This window comes from Homo sapiens, chromosome 8 (genome assembly GCF_000001405.40).
Source record: "Homo sapiens chromosome 8, GRCh38.p14 Primary Assembly".
Classification (NCBI taxonomy): domain Eukaryota; kingdom Metazoa; phylum Chordata; class Mammalia; order Primates; family Hominidae; genus Homo; species Homo sapiens.
In genome coordinates this window covers 98,122,049-98,146,256 of record NC_000008.11, presented here as the reverse complement: position 1 = coordinate 98,146,256, position 24,208 = coordinate 98,122,049, and the positions used below count along the sequence as shown (strand labels likewise).

General features: G+C 41.1%; 1 protein-coding gene and 1 pseudogene across 4 annotated transcripts in view; both read right to left on the bottom strand.

The window, feature by feature from the left end:
• POP1 (POP1 ribonuclease P/MRP subunit) overlaps positions 1-24,208 on the bottom strand; it is a 42,543-nt gene that overhangs the window by 13,579 nt on the left and 4,756 nt on the right. For 3 of the 4 annotated variants that reach the window (NM_001145860.2, NM_001145861.2, NM_015029.3), the window contains exons 2-11: positions 22,778-22,921; positions 18,495-18,662; positions 17,717-17,892; positions 16,031-16,279; positions 12,221-12,308; positions 11,598-11,785; positions 9,519-9,775; positions 9,303-9,396; positions 6,068-6,179; positions 5,369-5,488 (exon numbers count right to left, since the gene is read on the bottom strand). In NM_001145860.2, coding sequence (NP_001139332.1) covers positions 5,369-5,488; positions 6,068-6,179; positions 9,303-9,396; positions 9,519-9,775; positions 11,598-11,785; positions 12,221-12,308; positions 16,031-16,279; positions 17,717-17,892; positions 18,495-18,662; positions 22,778-22,919 — 1,594 coding nt within the window. In that variant the 5' untranslated portion in view covers positions 22,920-22,921. Of the gene's footprint in view, positions 1-4,991; positions 5,061-5,368; positions 5,489-6,067; positions 6,180-9,302; positions 9,397-9,518; positions 9,776-11,597; positions 11,786-12,220; positions 12,309-16,030; positions 16,280-17,716; positions 17,893-18,494; positions 18,663-22,777; positions 22,922-24,208 lie in introns of those variants that run through there. The other variant, XM_011516801.3, reaches the window with a different exon arrangement.
• On the bottom strand, positions 4,955-5,023 carry TRUND-NNN2-1 (tRNA-undetermined (NNN) 2-1; annotated as a pseudogene).

Here is a 24,208-nt window from a genome sequence, read left to right as displayed (position 1 = left end):
GCAAAGGCAAATAATACGGCACATTAAGGCAGGCATGGTGGTGCACACCTGTAATTCTAGCCACTTGGGAGGCTAAGGGGGGAGGGTGACTTAAGCCCAGGAGTTTAAGTCCAGCCTGGGCAACATAGCAAGACCCCATCTCTAAATAATAATATGCCATATTATAAATACATGTCATATTTCAACTACTGGCTTCAGGGCTTTGTGTATCATTCCTCATCCAATGGTGGTGAGCCAACAGATATCATCATCTTCTCTTCTGTCCATTATTTTAAGTCTCTGATAACCTATTTATATTGAACTATTTATTCGTTTCTGTAAAATGTATTTTTTCATCCTTTTTTTTTCTTTGAGACAGAGTCTTGCTCTGTCACCCAGGCTGGAGTGCAGTGGCGCAATCTTGGTTCACTGCAACCTTCGCCTCCCAGGTTCATGTAATTCTCCTGCCTCAGCCTCCCAAGTAGCTGGGATTACAGACGCATGCCACCATGCCTGGCTAATTTTGGTATTTTTAGTAGAGACAGTATTTCACCGTGTTGGCTAGGCTGGTCTTAAACTCGTGACCTCAAGTGATCCACCTGCCTCGGCCTCCCAAAGTGCTGGGATTATAGGTGTGAGCCACCGTGCCCAGCCTCATCCCTTTAAAATAAACATATTTTCAGTGATACATAGTGTTTTATCCCTTTAAATAAGCTGTACCGTGCTAGAAAGTACTCAAGCAGGAAGGGGAACAAACTTTATCAGTGACAAACTTCTATATTGATAGAAGGAACTTCCTACATGCAGTCATTTAATCCCCAGGGAAAAACATCTCCCAAATCTTATTTTGTTGAACTGAAGAATTTTCATTAGAAAAAAAGACAATTTGTGAGTTTGCGTTATGGTTCTAAACTGTCCACACAGAAACATCACTCAAAGGCACATACCTGCCTGCTGGGTCTGATGGCTAGGAAAGAATAAGTTGGAAGCAACTGGGCCATAGTGTGACAGATTTTAGGGCAGAACGAAGTTAGAAAAAATTAAGTTGATGAAAAGATCTGAGATTAAAACTGTTTAAAAGCCACAACAGGCCAGGTGCAACGGCTCATGTCTATAATCCCAGCACTTTGGGAGGCCAAGGCAGGCAGATTGCTTCAGCTCAGGAGTTCAAGACCAGCCTGGGCAACATGGCGAAACCGTGTCTCTACAGGAAAATACAAAAATTAGCTGGTTGTGGTGGTGTGTGCCTGTCATCCCAGCTACTTGAGAGGCTGAGGTAGGAGGATGGCTTGAGCCCAGGAGGTGGAAGCTGCAGTGAGCTGAGATCGCGCCACTCCACTCCAGCCTGGGTGACAGAGCCAGACCCTGTCTCAAAAAAATAAAGTAAAATAAAAAATTTTTAAAAGCCACAGCAGCTTCATTACACTGCTCTTCCTCACAGAGATAACCACCATCAGATCCTCAAGCCACAGTGCTGTGTGCTGCAAGTTCACATGGCCTGTCTAGGGGTAGTCAAGCTCCACTTCCAACAGCCTGGGTACCCAGAGTGCTTTCCTGTGGAGCACTGCCACGGATTTCGGGAACATGATTGGGATTTTAGTCAGACTAAGCTGCAGACAAAAGAGATAGTTGATACTCACAGTGTAAAGATACAGGAAAGTACTACCTCATCTTCAAATATTCTAAAAGATAATAATAGATAGGTCTGGCAAAAGTGGCTCACGCCTGTAATCCTAGCACTTTGGGAGGCTGAGATGGGAGGATCACTTGAGCCTAGGAGTTTGAGACCAGCCTAGGCAATTTAGTGAGACCCTGTCTCTACAAAAAGTTAAAAATTAGCCAGGCATAGTGGTATGTGCCTGTAATCCCAGCTATTTGGGGGGCTGCGGTGGGAGGATCGCTTGAGCCCGGGAGTTCAAGGCTGCAGTGAGCCATGATTGCGCCACTGCACTCGGGTCTGGGCAACAGAGTGAGACTCTGTCTCAAAAATAAATAAAATAATATTAATAATAATAGATAAAACAAAGTAGACAGTATGTCCAAAGGAGTATTATTGAGCTAAAAAGAAATGTGCTATTGAGCCATGAGAAGACACAGAGGAAATTTTTGGGTTTTTTTTTAGATGGAGTCTTGCTCAACTGTTGCCCAGACTGGAGTGTGGTGGTGCGATCTCAGCTCACTGCAGCCTCTGCCTCCCAGGTTCAAGCTATTCTCCTGCCTTGGCCTCCCAAGTAGCTGGGATTATAGGCACCCACCACCATGCCAAGCTAATTTTTTTTTTTTTTTAGTAGAGACAGGGTTTCACCCTGTTAGCCAAGCTGGTCTCGAACTCCTGACCACAGGTGATCTGCCCGCCTTGGCCTCCCAAAGTGCTGGGATTACAGGCGTGAGCCACCATGCCTGGCCTACATAGAGGAAATTTAAGTGCATATTACTAAGTGAAAGAAGCCTATCTGAAAAGGCTATGTATTGTATGATTCCAATTATATAATATTCTAAAAAACACAAAACTATGGAGGTAGTAAAAAGATCAGTGGTTATCGGAAGTTAGGGGGAAAAGAGGGATGAATAGGCAGAGCACAGAGGATTTGGGGGGCAGTGAATCTATTCTGTATGATGCTATTATGGTGAGTATGTCATTACACCTTTGTCAAAATCGGTAAGAGTATATATACCACCAAGAGTGGACCTTAATACAAACTTAGAGTATATATATCACCAAGAGTGAACCCTAATACAAACTAAGGACTTTAGGTGATAATGATGTGTTAATGTCGGTTCATGGATTGTAACAAACGTACCACTCTACTAAGGACATAGACTGTGTGGTGGCGGTGCATGGAAGGGGATGGAGGTTCATGGGATCTCGGTACTTTATGCTCAATTTTGCTGTGAATCTAAAGCTGCGCTAAAAAATAATAAAGTCTATTTACAACAAAGTGGAGTACGTCTGAAGGCTAAGGGGAAGGCCCTCTTAGGTCAATAGTCTTTACTGGGAAGAGAAAAAGAATATCCCCAGCTGAGTCAGCACACACATCAGTGGGCCTAGAATGACTGCCACTTCTGAATGTAATTCTAAGTCCTTCCCCCAGACTCAAAGCATGTTTTCTTTCATACACAGACAAAAGTTCTTGAATTGATTATATTAACTCCAGAATGTGACTTGAAGACTGAAGGGAGGAGCTTGCTTTCTCCTTTCTTAAATGTATTTAAAGATCACCAAATGTTAAATTGAACTTTCTTTTAATGAGTTTTACTCAGAGAAGCAAAGGTAACCAGTAAAAGGCTTTCTCATTTGGAAATCAAATAAAACCAAAGTTACAGCCTTCAGATTAAAGTATTTTAAATAAAATATGTAAAACAGTTCAAAGGGCCCAGGGGAAGCAGAGAACATGGCTGCTAACTGGGCACTGCTCAAGTCTGCTGCAGATCAGTGCTCTCAAAGTGCTTGCAAGAGCTATAAAATATAAAGGGATGACCTCTAACCTATCACTCTAAAGGCAGCTATCCTCCTTCCATGTTTTGGGTAGTATGGGAAAGTCATACTACCAAAGAGTGTTTAAAGGGAAAGATCATAAGCCCACGAGCACAAGGTAAATTCAGTATTTCCTAAAGGAAATTGATCTCTCACAGATAAGAACTAATCAAAATAATCCATCAAAGCAAATTGGCAAATACTAAGGATAGCAAATAAAACAACAGCTAGTACGGCAGAAACTATATTTTTAAATCTCATCTAGAAAACCAGTTACCTATATAGTGAAATATTGTGTTAATAAAGTTGAAAAGATTTGCAAAAACACATTATTAATATTTAATTCAAATTCTAGAACCAGCTATCAAGCAAACTTTTTCAAAGCATCTAAGAATATGCATTATCACTTCATTTTCTTCATGTACCTTCCCTTTTAAAAGCTCTCTAGCTGGGAATGGTGGCTCACACCTGTAATCCCAGCACTTTGGGAGGCCGAGGCAGAAGGATTGCTTGACTTCAGGCGTCAAATTAAATCACGTTTTTCAAGATAGACTTTAATTTTCCTTGAGCTGATTCATATTAAAACAAAAGCCTTAGAGAGGATTTAATAATCACCTCATTCCAAAAAAGGATTTGAGGTAGCAAGAGAAACTAAGTAGAGTTTATAGCTTCAAGGCAATTATAATAGTCAACATTTAATGGTGTAGTAAATGCTGCAACTTTTACGTTGCACCAGACCACATTCGTAGTAAAAAAGAAAAGAAAAGAAAGAGGCAATGACTCATTGAGTAAAGTCTTAGGCTTCATAATTAACTAACTTACCTATATATCTTCAAACTCCTCTCTCATCCAATCCACCTTTTATGTGAAGTTCTGACAGAGTAATTTATTGCCCCATCAATAAGCTATCTAACTACATTAAAAAAAAAATTCTGGGCCAGGCGTGGTGGTTCATGCCTGTAATCCCAGCACTTTGGGAGGCTGAAGTGGGTGGATCACCTGAGGTCAGGAGTTTGAGATCAGCCTGGCCAACATGGTGAAACCCCATCTCTACCAAAAATACAAAAAAAAAAAAAAAAAAATTAGCCAGGCGTTGTGGTGGATGCCTGTAATTTCAGCTACTCAGGAGGCTGAGGCAGGCAAATCACTTGAACCCAGGAGGTGGAGGTTGCAGTGATGACGCCATCCATTGCACTCCAGCCTGGGTGACAAAAGCGAGATTCCATCTCAAAAAAAAAAAAATTCTGAAGTCGTTACAACACAAACCTTTACTTTATCTCCAAAGACTCACATGGTAATTTTAATTATTCTTCCAATTAATCATGTTTAAATGACAGTAAATACAATGAGACATTATCAAAATTGCTGCCAATCTCATATCAGAACAAAATTTTAGCCAGCCCCTTACCCACCTCCTGTGCCACCCCAGCCAAACAACTTTCTCAGGCCTCTAGTACTACTTAGTCTAAACCAAGACATCTTATACTTCAGCACCTGGGATGGCCTTGCCAGGATTCGAACCTGGATCATCTGTATGGTCAGACAGAGGCTTCCACTGAGCACAAGACCAGCTTCGGGTGCAGATCCCTTCCTCACAATTAAAATTCTGAAACGCCAGACATTTTCAGAGAACGTAGTTTGCAGAGAGACAGGTTTTACTAGATACTAAAAAAAGAGAACTCGGAAAATAAAATGAACATAAGTATCAGGCTACGTGTTTTACTGCTAAAAGACACTTCCACACCTACCATTTCCTTAGATCATAATCAGCTTGTAAAGTGGGCAGGTAAGGAGACTGCCCTAATTTTTTACAGATGAAGTTACTGGAGAGGTGTCAGAGAAAGAACTCTTCTTCTAATAAGACTGGACTGCTCGAAATAGTAAGGAAAACCTGGGGTGTTTTTGGAACTTTACCTTGGCATTTTTCTGGATTGGGCAAAGCTTTGGACTTCTTTTGGGGCAAATTTATTCGAGGATCCCCAACTGTCAGTCCCAGAATAGTACCTGCCGGAATTTCTGCTGGTGATGTTATTCCTTTAACAACAACAAAAAGAAGTTTACAGAAAGTCATTCATAATACATCTGTATTTGCTTGTATTTTTAAATCTTTCAGATTTCCTAATGAAACGTTTTTCTTGGACTAATTACTTAAAAACATGTATTCCCTCTCTTCCCATTGATACTTTTAGAGAATAAGTTAACATTCATAAAGAATGAGGTTTCTTGCAAAAAACATGAGGCCAACATAAAAAAAGGTTCTTTTATGAAATGAACACATATGCTTCTATCAGTGATAACTACAGCAGCTATGAGCAAAAATGCAGTTGTGTGCAGGTAAGCATAGAGTTTAGGTCAGTACCTGGTGTATGCATTTATCTCCACTATCAGAATGCCAGTTACTTAGAATATGAACATACCATTTGTTTGTTGTTTCATAACCAGGCATGAATATAGTGTTTATTCACTGAGTTCAGTCCCTCTCTTACTTGGTTCTCTTGCTGTGTCACAATAGCAGCAGGTTAAAAAGCAATACTACATGTTGGAGGCCCAACTGCAAAAGGCTCTTTTGGCCCCCTTCCCTCCCCAACACAACCCAGTCTTCCCTTTGTATACCTCCCAACAACTCGAAAATGGCTTCTTGTCTGCAATGAAGGGAAACGCTGTCAGGTTTCTTACAGGTTTCTATCCACCAGCGGTGAGGTGTCTCCTCTGTGTCCTCTCCCACCTGAAAAATAACAACTACTATTCACTGGACGAACAATGAATCCACCTTCATAATTTTGTCATGGTTGTGATATCAGCCCCCACTCTTTCTTCTTCTATGTGTGGAAATGTATGTGTTATGGGATGAACCAGGGAAGTTGCCACTATACTTAACATAGTAATTAATACCAGACTAACTACCCTTTGAATTAGCAGCAAGGATATAGTATTACACTTCTCTCAAGATTTCACATATGAAGAAAATCATCTATGGTTTTCATAGACTAACTCACTAAGATACTTCACACTCAAAGTCTCTCCAGAGCGCAGTACCAACAAAGGAGGCCTCGCTCCTCTCTCTTTTTTTTCTTGACACAGTCTCACTGTCACTGAGGCTGGAGTGCAGTGGCCTGTCATGGCTCACTGCAGCCTCAATCTCCCAGGCTCAAGTGATCCTCCCACTTCAGCCTTTCAAGTGGCTGGGAGATGGAACCACAGTCACATGCCACCATGCCCAGCTAATTTTTTTTAACTTATTTTTTGTAGATATATGGTCTCACTATGGTGCCCAGGCTGGTCTTGAATTCCTGGGCTGAAGCAATCAACCCACCTCAGCCTCCCAAAGAGCTGGGATTTCAGGTGTGAGCCACACGCCTGGTCCTCTTCCACTAGAGCTAACTTCATCATCTCCAATGTAAGCAATAAAATGTTCCTCACCAAAGGAAAATCAAACCAGTACCTTTTGAAGAACTTTCCAGATAAAAGATATACTACTACTACATTATTCCTAGAAATGTATATTTTTTCCACATGGAACTAGGAATTGAGGAAGATTTCAAAAAGTCCTTCAAGTATCACATGCATGGCAAGAAGGGAATCTATAGCCACAACTCATGCTGAAGTTCACTGAAGTAGGATGTGCACTTACGGATCCTAAAGAAGCAATCATGGCCGGGTGCAGTGGCTCATGCCTGTAATGCCAGCATTTTGGTAGGCCGAGGCAGGCGGGTCACTTGAGGCCAGGAGTTCGAGACCAGCCTGGCCAACATAGTGAAACCGCTACTAAAAATACAAAAAATATTAGCCGGGTGTGTTGGCTGGCACCTGTAATTCCAGCTACTCGGGAGGCTGAGGTATGAGAATTGCTTGAACCTGAGAGGTGGAGGTTGCAGTGAGCTGAGATTGTGCCACTGCACTCCAGCCTGGGTGACAGAGTGAGGCTCTGTCTCAAACAAAAAAAAAAAAAAAAAAAGCAATCATAACAAAGGTACCATTTACTCACAGAAACTCAGGTAGCACAGCTTAGTGGTTTACAGTACAGGCTCTGGAACCAAACTTCATTGGTTCAAATCTTTGCTCCACAACTTATTAGCTACTACGGGGCACCCTCTCTGTGCCAGACATTGTGCTAAGCACTGGGGAGAGAGTGAAAAACAGGACCAACTCTATCCTCACCCTTATGAAGCTCACAGTCTCATGAGAGACATGGACATTACATAAATACACAAATCTATATAAATAAATTGAGGGAATTTGCAAGATGCTCTCTCTGAAAACAACAGGAGGGATCTAGTTTAACTTGGGGGATCAGGAAAGGATGCTAGAGGGAAATGCTAGAGACTGAAATCTGAAGAATGAGGAAGGTTCAGCAAAGTAAAGAGTGGTGGAGGCAGAATGCTCAGTAGTTGGAAGGAAAAAACAGGTGCAAAGGCTCTAAGGGAGACAAGAACTGACATTCCAGAACCTGAAAGAAGGTCAGGGTGGCTGAAGTGTAGAAGGGTGAGGAGAAATGAGGCCTCAGAGGCAAGAAGGCACAAGATTACACGGGTCACATTGAGCACTTTGGATTTTATCTTAATTACAATGAGAAGCTATTCAAAAACTTTTCATCAGGAAGCAACAAGAGGGAATAAATTATCAAAAAATCACTCTGCCTCTTGTGTGGAGAATGGGCTGAAAAGGAGGAAGGATGGAGGAAACTTAAGGTTCCCTCTAGAATCCTTTCCTGATCCCCCAATTGTTCAGGCAAGAGACAACACTGGTTGAGAGTACAGCAGAAGCAGTGAAGATGGAGAAAAGTAGCTTTTGTATTTTAAAGCATCTTTCTTCTAAAAACTCAGAATCTGTTCAGCTCTATCATCGTATTTGACCACGTCAAGTCAGTGAGAGGCACAGGCATTGAAAAGTTAATTGCACTAAGACCAGAAAACGAACAGGATCTGAACCCAGGGTGCAGATTCCTAATCTAGTCTCTATGCTAGCCACTTGCCAATAGAGCTACTCAAATTTAATTTTTAGTTAATTAAAGTTAAGTAAAGGTATAAATTCAGTTCCTCAGTCACTCTAGCCACAATTCAAGTATTCAACTGCCACATGTGGCTAATGGCTGTCGTACTGGACAGCACAAAGGAACATCATCCTCACAGAAAGCTCTACTGGAAGTGCTGCCCTAGACATACTGCTCTTAACCTTTTTAGAGATTCTAGACCCCTAAAACTAGCCCCAGAAAACCAGCCAGGTGCGGTGACTCATGCCTGTAATCCCAGCATTTTGGGAGGCCAAGGTGGGCGGATCACCTGAGGTCAAGAGTTCCAGACCAGCCTGTCCAACATGGTGAAACCCTGTCTCTACTAGCTGGGCCTGGTGGTGTGCACCTATAGTCTCAGCTACTCGGGGGGCTGAGGCAGGAGAATCGCTTGAACCCAGGAGGCAGAGGGTGCAGTGAACCAAGATCGCACCACTGCATTCCAGCCTGGGCAACAGGATGAGACTCAATCTCAGAAAAAAAAAAAGAAAAGAAAACCTACATGGCACACGCACACATCACAAAATCTGGCACACAATTTCAGGGATTTTAGAGACTCCCTACCTATGAAGCAGAAGTTAAGACCCTCTACAAGACTCACAGATGCAAGAGCAGTCTGTATTTAAGTAAGAACAGTCAGTTTACTGATCATATCCACTTAGTTGTGGTCTTCTAGGAGAAGTGAAAGATAACAAAATCTTTGATAATAAGCATAATAAGTAGGGAAATAAACATCTAAAAGCCATGGCCCAAAATGTTACCAAATTATATATTAGGTTTCACAAATTTGACAGGAAAAACATGATTAGAATAAAACACTACAGTCACTTTTACTCTTACAGTGTGGACAGAAGCAGCTTTTATTGCTTCAGTTAGGATGGAGTGGGAAAGTGGCCCAATCAGCCGGAATCTGTTCATCTCCATCGTCAAATCGCTGAAAAAGAAAGAACATCTTAAAATGGAAACTTTCATCACACAACATCTGTGCCACTGACAAAAATGGAGCAGGTCTTCACTGAAAATGTTCAGTAGGTTCAAAGCAAATTCAACTCATACCTGATTATAATGCCTGTGGTTGGAGAGATCCAAGAGTATGGTAGACATGGATCTCTAGTTCCATCACCGATAATTTTTTTAATTGGTTTAGCATTTTCTCCATCATCTTTCCTTTTTCTTTTCTTGCCAATTTTCTCGTCAGGCAATTCAGTTTGGCTTTTTTCTTGGGATGGTGTTGGAAGTGGGTCAGCGATGCAGACAGCTGATTTGATGGGTTCCACACACTGGCACGCTGCTTTTATTTCCTCTAAGATATCCTAAAAATATATTTAAACATTCACTTTAAAATCTTGAAATTTAAATATATTACGACAAATTTAGTTGGGTTTTTTTTTTTAAATCTCTTTAAAAATTAACATTTTTGGCCAGGCACGGTGGCTCATACCTGTAATCCCAGCACTTTGGGAGGCCGAGGTGGGTAGATTACCTGAGATCAGGAGTTCGAGCCCAGCCTGACCAACTGGCAAAACTCCATCTCTACTGAAAAATACAAAAAATAGTTGGGTGGCAGGCACCTATAATCTCAGCTACTCAGGAGGCTAAGGCAGGAGAATCACTTGAACCTGGGAGGCAGAGGTTGCAGTGAGCTGAGATCGTGCCATCGCACTCCAGCCCGGGCAACAGAGCAAGACTCCGTCTCAAAAAAAAATAAAAAATAAAAAATAAAAAAAAATCACATTTGTATTCCCTCACAAATTAACTTAAATTAAATTTATCATCAAAAAGCTTTTTTCGGCCAGGTGTGGTGGCTCACGTCTGTAATCTCAGCACTTTGGGAAGCTGAGGCAGGAGGATGGCTTCAGCCCAGGAGTTTGAGACCATGGCCTGGGCAACATAGGGAGACCTTGTTCCTACACAAAATAAAAAAATAATTAGCTGGACAAGGTGGTGCACCCCTGTAGTCTAAGCTACTCGGGGAGGCTGAGGTAGGAGGATCATTTGAGCCTGGGAAGTAGAGGCTGCAGTGGGCTATGACTGCACCACTGCACTCAAGTCTCAATGACAGAGCAAAACCCTCTGGGAAAAAAAAATTTTTTTTAATTTAATTTTAATTTTTGAAAAAAAGCTTTTTTGGGTGTTCTGAGTAGTGTATGCCACTTTAAACAAAAAAAAATTTTGAAACTGAAAATTTCAAATGGGTTAATTAGGGCTGGGGCTAGGGGTAGGGTTAGTCAAATATTATGAAAACAACATGATCACTCTGACTACATTTTTTTAAAGTAGTGAGTATGCTAAAGAAGGGAAGCTAAGCTAAATTCAGTGTGAAAAATCATTAGAATTACTCAAAAATAGCTTTTCATTATCAAATAGCCCCTAGATACTAGTGAACCACTTCAGTCATGGTAGAAACATTAGTTCAAATTCAACATTTCAAATAATTAGCATAAGGCTGGTTTTTATCTCTACTTCTGCTTATGACTTACTAAAAATATGAGATGTCAAGATTAGTTTTTTTTTTTTTCGAGACAGGGTCTCACTGTCACCCAGGCTGGAGTGCAATAGCACGATTTCATCTCACTGCAACTCTGCCTCCTGGGCTCAAAGTGATCCTCCCGCCTCAGCCTCCCAAGTAGCTGAGACTACAGGTGCATGCCACCAATCCTAGCTAATTTTTGTCTTTTTTGCAGAGACAGGGTTTCACCGTGTTGCCCAGCCTAGTCTCAAACTCTTGGATTCAAGTGATCCAACTGCTTCAGCCTCCCAAAGTGGTGGGATTACAGGCATGAGAAACCATGCCCCGCCCTGACTTCATTATATTTGATAAACAAGTTCCGGGGATATAATGTACAGCATGGGTGGTGATGGATGTGTTATTTGATTGTGGTATACAACATGTATATCAAATCATCATATTATATACTTTGAATATATTTGCTTTTTGTCAATTAGACATTTTTAAATACAAATTTTTAAAGTTTTTTAAAAATTCACTTCATTCAATAATCATAGAGCCCCCCATATACAAATATCAGACTATCAGACAAACCTTTACACTATTTACATTTCTACAGTATTGACTTCCAGCAGTAATTAAAAATGCAGTTTCAGAATGACGGGAGATAACCTGAAGGATTATACCTGTTTAAGGGTTGGATGCAGCCAGATCCACAGCTGCCTGCTCTCAGAAGGGTCACCCGGGGTCCTCTGGGACTTCCAGATAAACGTAACAGGCCCAAGCATTTCTCTGGGATATTTATTCACCCGATAAAGCACAAGGCTCCCTTGGCGCTTTCCAGACAAGCAGTGAACTGCTGCAAACGTCAGCCCTGACATCAACAAAAGCAAAATTCCATAATTCCGGGTGTTGAGACTGCAGTCCTATTTCCTGATAACCACACTGTCATTTACTGTCTGCCTCCATGAGAGGTGAAGTTTTGGTTGTGAGGATTGCTCAGATCAAAGCCTGGCACACAATAAGTTCTCAACAAATATGTGTTAAATGAGTAATGAGAGCTTCAAGTTTCTTTCTGTCAAGTTCACTCCACCAGAAAAATGACTCTATCACTTTACACTTGACAATGTTAGAAATTATTTAAAAGCCAACCCAACTGTTTTTAAGTTAACATTTTCATTGGGAATGATTAGTGTCTCACACACTTTTCTATATGTTTGAATTCCAAAATGCTTACAGTAGACACTTCTTTATGAAATGAATAAATATACATAGACTAAAATAGAACTCAGCTTTAAAACAAGTTTACCTGTGTCTATGTTACACATTCCAGAAAGCGCCTTTAGTATTTCTTCCTCTTTGCCTTTCAACTCCAAACAACAGTAATAGGATAAATCCTGCACAAAGCGGGAGACACAATTAAGTACTTAGGAATTTACACAGGCAAAACTGCTAAGAAGCCAAAAGCCGTATCACAAAACCTTTAGAGGCCTAAGACACAAAACAAATTGCTAAAGCTATGTTCTCATAAGTCAAAATCTAAACCTTCTCCTGCCCGATGGTTTAGTGGAAAAAATATCTAAACCTGTCCATTCCTGTCACCTTAACAAATATTTTTAAACCAACCCGAACCAAAATAAAAATGAATCTCCATTTAAAATGTAAGTTACGGTATCCTACTTTTTAGGTAATCTATGTTTTATCCCATATTCATAGACAGGTTCTACGGAGGGTACATAACTGTTGCCTCTAAGTAGAGAACCATTCACCCCCAAAGTCTACCTAAGGTAAGAAACCAGAGTAAAATAAGCAAAACAGTAATGAATTCTGCAAAATTATGCTCAGGTTGCTCAATTTGGTTAGCTAATTCAGGACCTCAAGATTACTTAACACTAAGCCTAGAGATACAATATTGCAATTAATCCATCCCATATTTCTCCCATACTCAGTCTTGACCATGATATGCAACTTTAAGCACAGTACAAAGAAAGTAAAAGTAATAACATACAATTTCAAGTAAGATGAAGAGAGATCAGACTAAGCTAATGAAATCAATGTTAAAAGTTTCAATAGTTATAGTATCCATAATAATAATTATAATAATAATTCTAACAGTTTGTTTTGTTTTTGAGACAGGGTCTCACTCTGTTGCCAGTGCTAGAGTACAGAGGCGCAATCACAGCTCACAGAAGTCTCAACTTCCTGGGCTCAAGCAATCCTCCTGCCTCAGCCTCCCAGGTAGCTGGGACTACAGGCACGAGCCACCACACCCAGCTTTTTTTTTTTTTTTTTTTTTGCAGAGACAGAGTCTCACTATGTTGCCCAGACTGGTCTTGAACCCCAGAGCTCAAGCAATCCTCCTGCCTCAGCCTCCCAGGTAGCTGGGACTACAGGCACGAGCCACCACACCCAGATTTTTTTTTTTTTTTTTTTTTTTTTGCAGAGACAGAGTCTCACTATGTTGCCCAGACTGGTCTTGAACCCCAGGGCTCAAGCAATCCTCCTGCCTCAGCCTCCCAAAATGCTGTGATTCTAAGCATGAGCTGCCATGCCTGGCCTATAATAGTTAATAGTCATTGAAGGGTTACTGAGTGCCAGCAATGAGTTAACTCCTTACATGAACAGTCATTTAGTCTTCCTGACAACCAGATGTACCTAGTATGGTTATCTTATCTGACAGACAAGGACACTGTGACACAGAGATTGTTACTTGAACAAAGACACAGTCATTAAGTGGAGAAGCCAGCATTCTAATCAGGCTCAGTGATCTGCCAAACCAACCCTTCTGCTATAGCATCTTTAAGCAATTTCAGTGCACTCAGTAACTAGAACTAAAAGGGAAATTATAGCTATGATTCTGACAACGCATGTCAATCAATATGATCACTCACACAAAGAAATCTTCCCATCCAGTGACCAGCTCTCAGCTGTCAGTGGCCAGAGGAACCTCACCCAAACAAGTGACAGCAGAGAATAATGGTTCAGAGTGTGGAACCCTGGAGTCAGGCAACTGGGCTCAAATCTGAACCTCAACACTCATTGGCCATACAATCATGGGTAAACTACCTAACCTCTCTGTACCTCAGTTTCCCCATCTGTAAAATGGAAATAATGGTAACTCCTTACTTCGTACTATTCTGAGGATTAAATGAGTAAACACATGCAAACCATTTAAAACAGGGTAGGGCATATATTAAGCACTCACTAATATTTGTTATTATTAGCTATTAGTTTTATTACTTAGGGCTGATCAAATTTTAGAGAAAATATCTGATAACTTCAGCAAAAATTATGCCCAAAATGAAAAGTAACTCATTGGCAGAGGACAGTGGAAAAAGCACAAGCCAGGGGAATCAGCCACCCAAGTGCTATGTAGGCCACCAACAAGCTGTGTGAGCCCAGGCAAGTCACTTCATCTCTCCAGAACCCAGCTTCCTCAATGTGAATGAGGAACTTGACTATTATCTATGATTTCTGCTGCTGAGTTCTCAAATCAAAGACTCCTAAAAGGTCCTCTTATTCACTTCACACTCATTAGAATGACTGTGATCAAATAAATAAATAAAGTAACAAGTACTGAAAAGGATGAGGAGAAATTGGAACCCTTGTGTATTGCTGGTGGGAATGTAAAATGATACAGTTGCTATGGAAAATGGTAAGGCAGTACCTCAAAAAATTAAACATAAAATTAACATAGAATTATCATATGATCCAGCAATTACACTTCTGGGGATATATTCAAGAGGACTGAAAGCAGGGACTGTAACGATATTTGCATATCCATGTTCACAGCAGCATTATTTACAATAGCCAAAAGGTGGAAGTAAGCCAAATGTCCACTGACAGATAAATGAATAATCAAGATACGGTATATACCTACAATGGAATACATCTTCAGCCTTAAAAGGGAAGGGAATTCTGACACATGCTACAACACGGATGAATTTTAAGACATTATGCTAAATGAAATAAGCCAGTCACAAAAAGACAAATATTGTATGATTTCACCCCTATGAAGCACCTATAGGATCAAATTATTGGATAGACAATAGAATGGTGGCTGCCAGGGGCTGAAGGAATGGGAGTTAGTGTTTAATGAGTCGAGAGTTTCAGTTTGGAAGGATAAAAAAGTTCTGGAGATGGATGGTGGTACTGATTACACAACGTAAACGTACTTAATGCCACAGAACTATACACTTAAAATGGTCAAATGGTTTTGTTATGTATATTTGACCACAATTTTTTAAAAAGATTCTTGTATTGCTTATTCTACCACATTACTCTCAAGGGGTATCAAAGGACACCAATAGTAATGGCTTTCAAAATTTGGCCAAGGCCATTCTGCCACTGAAAGATAGGCCCTTCTGCAAAGAACAAATGTCTAAGTATGTATTGGAAGAAATAGAAAGCAACTGAATTAGCTTCTGAGAGGAGGGAGCAATCAGATAAATACTATTAAGAGGCTCTAACATAATCTGTCCTCTCAAAGCGTTTAAAATTTAAAACATCCTTCCCAGCATCCCACTGACCCATAAACACCTAGACCAGCATTCTGAACCCTGTTCAGGGTACACAGTTGATTCTCAAATATCTGTTATTGATGAACGACTGTTAGATTAATCTATAGTGAATAAAACTTGACATGATCAACAAGACCTGCACGACCTGGTTCCTACTCTTTTCTCTAGGCTAACCTTGCCCTGATGTTGCCTTGTTCTCCTTCTCTTCTTCTCTGTCACACAGAATTGATTCCAGTTCTTCACTCTCACCTGGCTTCCTTCTGCCTTCCCCCTCTCCTCCCATCTTATCCCTTAGAGCTCAGCTCAAACAGCACTTCTGGGGGACGCCTTCCAGTTAGGTTAGAAATGCTCATCATACTGTATGCTTTTCCCTTACAACCACATATCTGGTAAATCGTTTGATTAATGTCAGTCACCCCCCTAACTTTAGGCTGCCTGATCTCCAGCATCTGGCAAAGGACCCGGGCTTCATGCTCAGGAATTATTTTTAAAATGAATAATCACATAAACGGGGCTTGGCACATCATAAACTATTCTAAAGGCCTCTATGGAAAAGGATCAAACAAAAATAACAAAAAAAGCCCACTGGAAAAGCTCACCTGCAGGAGGCACCGGTTCGTCATGGCTCGATAGCAGGCTCTGTGGCTCTTGACTGTTGGCCTCTCCCCAAGGCAGTAGCCCCACTTCTTGACCATATGAAACCGCTTGGCGTGCCAGATGTGAGTTTCTAACCAAATGTTCTTCTTTTGTCTACGGTTAAATTCTAGCGTCCGGTTCATGTGACATCTTCGAGCTTTATGGCATTTATTTTTTGAATGTTCTTTTTTCTGATGTACGGCTTTCTCCGCCTATAGTTTCAAGTAGAGGGACATATCCCAGTTTGTAAGAATCTCAAAACAGAGTTAACGGTCAGGAATGCAAACAAATAACTTTAGATTAAGTGGAATATTTTATAGATCCCATTAGTTTGCTTAAATTGTTAACTTAGTTTCTTCAATGTAAGTAGAGAAGGAAGACAATGGAAAGAGTGAATGTTTTAGAGCTAGGAGACCTAGGAAGGAGGCACAGTTCCATCACTCACTAACTAGGCAAGTTTCATGGAATATGAAGATCAGAATACTTATAAAATGTTCAACACAGTAACACAAGCTTAATATGGCTATTAGTATTAGAGGGCAAGAAAGAAGAAATCAAATGCTAGCTTCTTGTTGTCATTTTAACCTGTAGAATTGTAACTAAAACCAAAAACTTAAGACCAAAAATAATACAAGTGAGGAAAACCCATACATTTCATCTCAGTTAAGCTACAGACATACACATGCTGAATGCTATCACTGGGAAACAGATTTTATATTAAATCTAGAAAGTATAAAATTCCTTGTTAGTTTTCCCTCTTGAACTCAAACCCCACCACCAGCATAGCAATGGTACATAGAAGGCTGCTCAATAAATAGGTTTTAAACCAATTAGTAAAGACATGGGCTTAATCTTAGAATGTTCAAGTCTAGAATTCTGGTGAAGCCAAAACACAATTAGACTTGTACAAAAATTAAAACCCAGTTCAAGTTTTCAACTTCGAAAAAGTCAGAAAGCAAATGCTAAGCATTGACATTGCTTTTTTTTAACCTTCCTACCCCAAGCTGGGCACACCCTAGAAACACAGATCCAAAACCACTCGGTAAGAGGGTCAGAGTTTTTTTTTAACATCTGGGAAGGGAACATCAACTATTCAACACCCTTACAAGAGAGGAGTATCAAATCCTATATTTCAAAGCACCCATAATAGCCAATTGCCTGTGAATTTCGTTTGAAGGGAAGAAGTTTGGATAATGATTAAATCAAATATATGCAAAACAAAAACAAAAACCATAAGGGTGATGTTTTCTGAGTTTTTTTTTTCTTTTTAGACAAGGTCTCACTGTCACCCAGGCTGGAGTACAGTAGCATGATCACAGCTCATTGCAGCCTCAACCTCCCCTGGCTCAGGGTACCCTCCCATCTCAGTTTCCAAGTAGCTGGGACTACAGGCACACATGTACCATCACGCCCAGCTAATTTGCGGATTTTTTTGTAGAGACAAGGTTAGGCCATATTGCCCAGGCTGGTCTTGAACTCCTGGGCTCAAGCAATCTGACCACCTCAGCCTCTCAAAGTGCTGAGATTACAGGCGTGAGCCACCATGCCCAGCCTTGGTTTTCATTTTTAATAAATTCTATTAGGTCAATACTTCTCAATTTCTTCTAGGAGCTACTAATCTAAACATTTACACTAAGTGGAACTCCTACCTCTTTCTGGGCAATCTCCTGTAACCGTCTGGGAAGGCGTTTGACGTTGTGGCTCATGGCTCTTCGTCGCATGTGCCGTGGCAGAGTCTGAAAAACCAGTGAATTCGAAGACTTCTGGGTCACAGCTTTTAACATAGCACTGATTTCAGCAGCTCGTGCTTGAGCAAAAGTAGAAGCTGTTGAAGGAGATGACAAAGTCATTAAACACCAATCTTGAATTAACATTGGAGAATAAACAGGCTGCTGGGGAAACTTAACTGAATTCCTCCACCAAGAAGGCGTAAAGAGAGACCAGAAAGCATATCTAAGGTATAGGTACAAGGTACAAGGAATATAGGGTTTAATTGTGGTAGTGTGGATGGGGATCATAGGGTGAAGAACAGAAGAGGATGGAAAGGGCCTGGAGACAGGCCCTTTAAATAAAGGTTTGGTTGCCATTTGTGTGTACTCAATTTTCCATCCTTGGAGAATGCTGTGCTGAGTGTGGATGGCATATTTAAAACAAGAGGGGCACGGGGGCTAAGACAAAGAGGAACAGTTCACAAAGACTTGTAAGAAGAAGAGTAAGAGACAGGGAGAGAAACTGAAGAAGGGAGAGCCATCAAGCCCAAGGAAGCTCTGGCCAAAGTCCAGGCTAGAGGCGAGAAGGGTCTAAAGTAGGAGGAGGAGAGGAGAGGTAGGGGAGGCAGAGCCAGGACCACAAGGAGGGCAGTTTGTTGCTGCACTAGACACGAGAGTTCAAAATACAAGCAAACTGCACCTCTTTATGAGTACCCACCAGTTATATACTTGGGGATCTCCTGAGACGTGCCCTCGGGACCTGCTTTCCATCCTCCCTTTTTTCTAAACATCCCTTTGGAGGAAGACTGCTCATTCACTTCAGGGTCAGGCAGAGAATGGGGGTTGACTCTGGTTTGCCGCTGTCGTGAAGTTCCAGGATGAGGCTCTAGTATATTTTCAAAAAGAAACATGTCACCTTTATCAGAGATAAACATTATAGTGGAGAACTAATATTTGTTGGGTGGCAACATTGACCATGTTTTTAATCCTATAGTCACCCTGTAAGGTGGCTATTACTACTTATTTTTAAAGAGGAATCTTACGTAGGAAGGTGAATTAACTTGCTCGAGGTCACAAAGCTAGTAGGTAGCACACAAGGTAATCATGTCAGGATGACATATAAAGGACCTTGGATATAACAGATACAGGTGAAATTTTCTCCTATAAACGGTGCAACATGAATTTCAAATCTAAGCTCCCTGCTATGGTCTGAATGCTTATGTCCCCCAAAATTCCAGTGTTGAAATCCTAACCCCCGAGGTGATGGTATTAGGAGGTGGGGCCTTTAGGAGGCGATTAGGTCATGAGGGTAGAGCCTTCATGAATGAGATTAGTATCCTTATAAAGGAGTGCTCACAGAGACCCTCGCTCCTTCCACCATGTGAGAACCAGTGAAAAGGTGCTGTATATGAACCAGAAGGCAGGCCCACACCAGTCACCAAACCTGCCCGCTCCTTCATCTTGGACTTTTCAGCCCTCAGAACTGTGAGAAATACATTTGTTATTTATAAGCTACCCAGTAAGATACAGGTTGTGTATCCCTCATCTGAAATAACTGGGACCAGAAGTGTATCAAATTCCAATTTTTTTGGATTTTGGAATATTCGTATATATATAAAATGAGATATCTTGAGGATAGAACACAAGTCTAAAGACAAAATTCAATTACACTTCTTTCGCCTTATCATACACAGCCTGAAGGTAATTTTATACAATATTTTTAATAATTTGTGCATGAAACTTTTTGCACATTGTATACTTGAACCATCAGAAAGCAAAGGTGCCACTATCTCAGCCACCCTGTGGACAATCTGTGGTTGGCTGGCATCAGCATCCTTCCTGACTCTGAATCTATATGCTACTGATAAGCAATCACTTTCTTACACTTACTCACATGTAAGTATTTAACAGTAAAAATTACATGTATTTTATTTGTCTTTGTGGGTGTGCTTACGTGGTGAAATCTGGGAGTGCTTGGAAATATTTATATCACAGCTGAAGGGGGCTGGGAACATCTTTTTTCCCATGGGAATGCTGAATAAACTGTGTGTTATATGCCTTCATTCTGACTGTGACCCATCACATGAGGTCGGATGTGCAATTTTCCACCTGTCATGTCATGTCGGCGCTCAAAAAGTTTTGGATTTTGGAGCATTTTAGACTTCAGATTTTTGGATTAGGAATGCTCAACCTGTATTTTGTTACAGCAGCCCAAACGACACTCCCTTAATACTATAATCCACATGATTGTGTACAGTCTTTTATCCTAACTCTCTGCCACACTCAAATTGAGAGCCACTATACTAAATAAATAACTAAAAGCAAAGTTCCAGGATGGATGTGGTGGCTCACACCTCTAATCCCAGAACTTTGAGAGGCCAAGGTGGGCAGATCACTTGAGTCCAGGAGTTTGAGACTAACTGGTCAACGTGGCAAAACCCTGTCTCTACCAAAAAAAAAAAAAAAAATTTGCTGGGCATAATGGCACATGCTTGTAGCCCCAGTTACTCGGGAAGCTGAGGTGGGAGGATCACCTGAGCCCAGGAGGTCAAGGTTGAAGTGAGCCACGATTGTGCCATTACCCTTCAGCATGGGTGACAGAGTGGGATCCTGTCTTAAAACTTTAAAAAGCAAAATTTCCAGCCAGGCACAGTAGCTCATGTCTGTAATCCCAGCACTTTGGGAGGCCAAGGTGGGTGGATTGCCTGAGCTCAGGAGTTCAAGACTAGCCTGGGCAACATGGTAAAACCCCGTCTCTACTAAATACAAAAAATTAGCTGGGTGTGGCAGCATGTGACTGTAGTCCCAGCTACTCGGGAGGCTGAGGCAGGATAATTGCTTGAACCCGGGAGGCAGAGGTTGCAGTGGGCCAAGATCGCACCACTGCACTCCAGCCCAGGCAACAGAGCAAGACTCCATCTCCAAAAAAAAGGCAACATTTCCATACAAGTGTCTGGGCATTATGACTATAAGACAACATTAAATATCTGTCTGTGGCCGGGTACAGTGGCTCACGCCTGTAATCCCAGCACTTTGGGAGGCCGAAGCAGGTGGATCACTTGAGGTTAGGAGTTTGACACCAGCATGGCCAATATGGTGAAACCCTGTCTCTACTAAAAATACAAAAATTAGCCAAGAGTGGCAGCACACGCCTGTAGTCTCAGCTACTCAGGAGGCTGAGGCAGGAGAATCGCTTGAACCCAGGAGGTGGAGGTTGCAGTGAGCCGAGATCGCACCATTGCACTCCAGCCTGGGTGACAGAGCAAGACTCTGCCTCAAAAAAAAAAAAAAAAAAAAAAAACTGTCTGTAAATTAAGGGAGAGATCAGTAGAGAATTTTATAGTGTTTCTGCTTATTTCAATTGTGGTGTTAATTATTAAGCCACTATAAATCTTAGAACATTGTGAGGTTTAAATGAGATAAAAAAAATGTGAAAGCCTTATCATATGGCATGGTAGGCATCAACTGTAGGATCTGAATCTAGACCTTATGAACTTGACTCTAAAATTTACTTAATCAGACCCAATGCAGTTTTTTAAAGCACTCCAAACAAGTCCTTGGACACTTGCTTTTGCTGTCTTCCCAAATTAGCACTTTCTACCGCTGCCCTAATGAACAACTGTGATCTTCCTATCACTTCATAAGGTTCTAAAATCAGCACACCAGTGAAATACAGATATGATGACTATACTGCACTTCTCTTAGGAAACACAGAAGTATAATAATCATTGATGTTAAGGTAGAAATAAAATATACCAGCTCTAAAATATGCATAGCCAATTTTCATTATTTATAGTAGTCATGTTTCATACGTCCCTGAATTACGTCAATGAATTAGTGAATACTGAACCATTCCTCCTAGTGGGGATACATACATATCTTCATCTCACATAGATTATAATCTTTTTTTTTTTCCTTTTTTTTGGGACAGTCTCACTGTCACCCAGGCTGGAGTGCAGTGGCACGATCTTGGCTCACTGCAACCTCCACCTCCCGGTTCAAGCAATTCTCCTGCCTCAGCCTCCCAAGTGGCAGGGACTACAGGCACACACCACCATGTCTGGCTAATTTTTGTATTTCTAGTAGAGACGGAGTTTCGCCATGTTGGCCACTCTGGTCTCGAACTCCTGACTTCAGGTGATCCGCCCGCCTCAGCCTCTGAAAGTGCTGGGATTACAGGTGTGAGCCACCGCCCCTGGCCATATTATAATCTTAAATCCAAAAAACAACTCCTCCTGGTAGAGTTTATTTCCTTTATTTTACAAAAGAGAAAATGAAGTCTAGAAATGCTAAGTGACCTGCATGAGGCTGCCCCAGGGCTGAGATTCAAACCCCAGGAGAGCTGGAGCTTCCTGCACTGTACTGCCCTGCCCTTATACTGCCTCCATCCTCTGCCCATTTCTGCATGACAGCTGGGAAGCTCGGCTGGGAACGTAAACACAGGGAAACTCAAATTTTTCCTGCTCTATGTATGTCCACAAATGATAGCCAAAGCTTCATGGGTATTAATATTGGGGTTACAAATAAGCTTTGGCAAGTAGGCAAACTTGCAAATAGGAAACTCAAAAATAATAAGGGTCTACTGTATCTGTTTTTAATTCAGCTCATTTACTATTTAGATAATGACTATCAAAAGAGCTGACAAAAGCAATTTGATCAAAATGGGAGTGGAGAGAGCATCATGTGTATCTTTTTTTTTTTTTTTGAGACACAGTCTCACTCTGTCTTCAGGCTGGAGTGCAGTGTCATGATCTCAGCTCACTGTAACCTCCACCTCCCAGGTTCAAGCGATTCTCCTGCCTCAGCCTCCCAAGTAGCTGGGACTACAGGCACGCGCCACCACACCCAGTTAATTCTTGTATTTTTAGTAGAGACGGGGTTTCACCATGTTGGCCAGGATGGTCTTGATCTCTTGACCTCATGAACCGCCCACTTCAGCCTCCCAAAGTGCTGGGATTACAGGCGTGAGCCACCATGCCTGGTCTCTTATGTGTATTTTACCTTGTTTTTGAGCTTGGAAAGGTTTTTCACCTCCACTGTGGTGCTTTACACCTCTGTCAGCCACAAAGCCAGAGGACAGAGTCACATTGGTAGGCTGGTTTCTCATTTTCTTGGCGTGTTTTCTTTCTTTTGCATTTGACATTTCTGGAAAGGAAGTAATACATTTAATACAGGGAAAGGAAACTTCCACTCAAAAATAAAAATAAATTTAATGAGTAAATATTCATGTGATTCAAAATAAGTCTATTGATGGAAGAGACCCTATTAGTATATTGCAGTTTGCACTGTCAAATAATTAAATCATATACAACTGTTGATACCACATAAAGTCTGTTAGAAGAATGAAAAATGAGATAAGATTGCTATGGATGATAAAAAATTAATTAGTTCAAATACTTTACCTTGATTATTAGATGAAATAAGAGCCACCTGAATCAATGAAATACAGAACACCCTATTCCAAAAGGAGAAACTCTATTAAAAACAACACAAATTACTGACGCTTTCATTTCTACTACTCAGATGATGCCAGCTATATATTTAATTTATAATAGCAATAGATAATGATTTCAATTTGAAGCAAGATAAAGGACAAAAACAGTGGGACCCCGACTGATTTACCAGTCAGTAGTTCCCAACTCTCAAACTCAACATCCCCTATTTTTACTGATTCAGTTTGAAGCAGCTGTTCTCTATTTTTAAATGAAATGAATGTTATAACCTATTAGACACATATCGAGACATACCCTACAATAGATGCCCTAAATGTAACATAAAGGAGACCTAAGAAGTAATTTTAATAAAATAATATGTATTTCTGTATGTAACTATTTCACCACAACTACACTAGATGATATTATGAATAGATTTTGAACCCAGGGAATAATAACATCCACACAGGCACCAGCACAGGCATTGGCACAATCCATAAAGCTGGATGGTCCTGGAAGCCCTTCAACCCCAAGGTACCAGTGATTAACTCTTTCATTGCTAACTGCAGGAAATCCGAAGGGCCCTATACATGGACACACTAGGAGGTAGGGAAGCTCAGAGCAGCTGGTATTTACCAAGCTGTTCTCAAAGCAGTTCAGTATTTTAATACCAGTCTTTACTTCTACCTATACATAAAATTACCATGAATTCAACAGCTACAAAGGCAAAGCAGCACAGGTGTGTTGTACCAGTGCCTCAAAGAGAAGGTAGCAATGCCACTAATGACGTAATTTTCCAAATTGGTCAACACTCCTTAGTAAACTACCCCCACCCCCGCCACCCTGCCAAAAAAAGTACAAACTTGCTTTGATTTACTGCATTACTGGAAAATTCAGTGCATATTAAAACGGTGTAACCAGGCCAGGTGCGGTGGCTCATGCCTATAATCACAGCAGTTAGGGAGGCTGAGGCAGGCGAATCACTTGAGGTCAGGAGTCC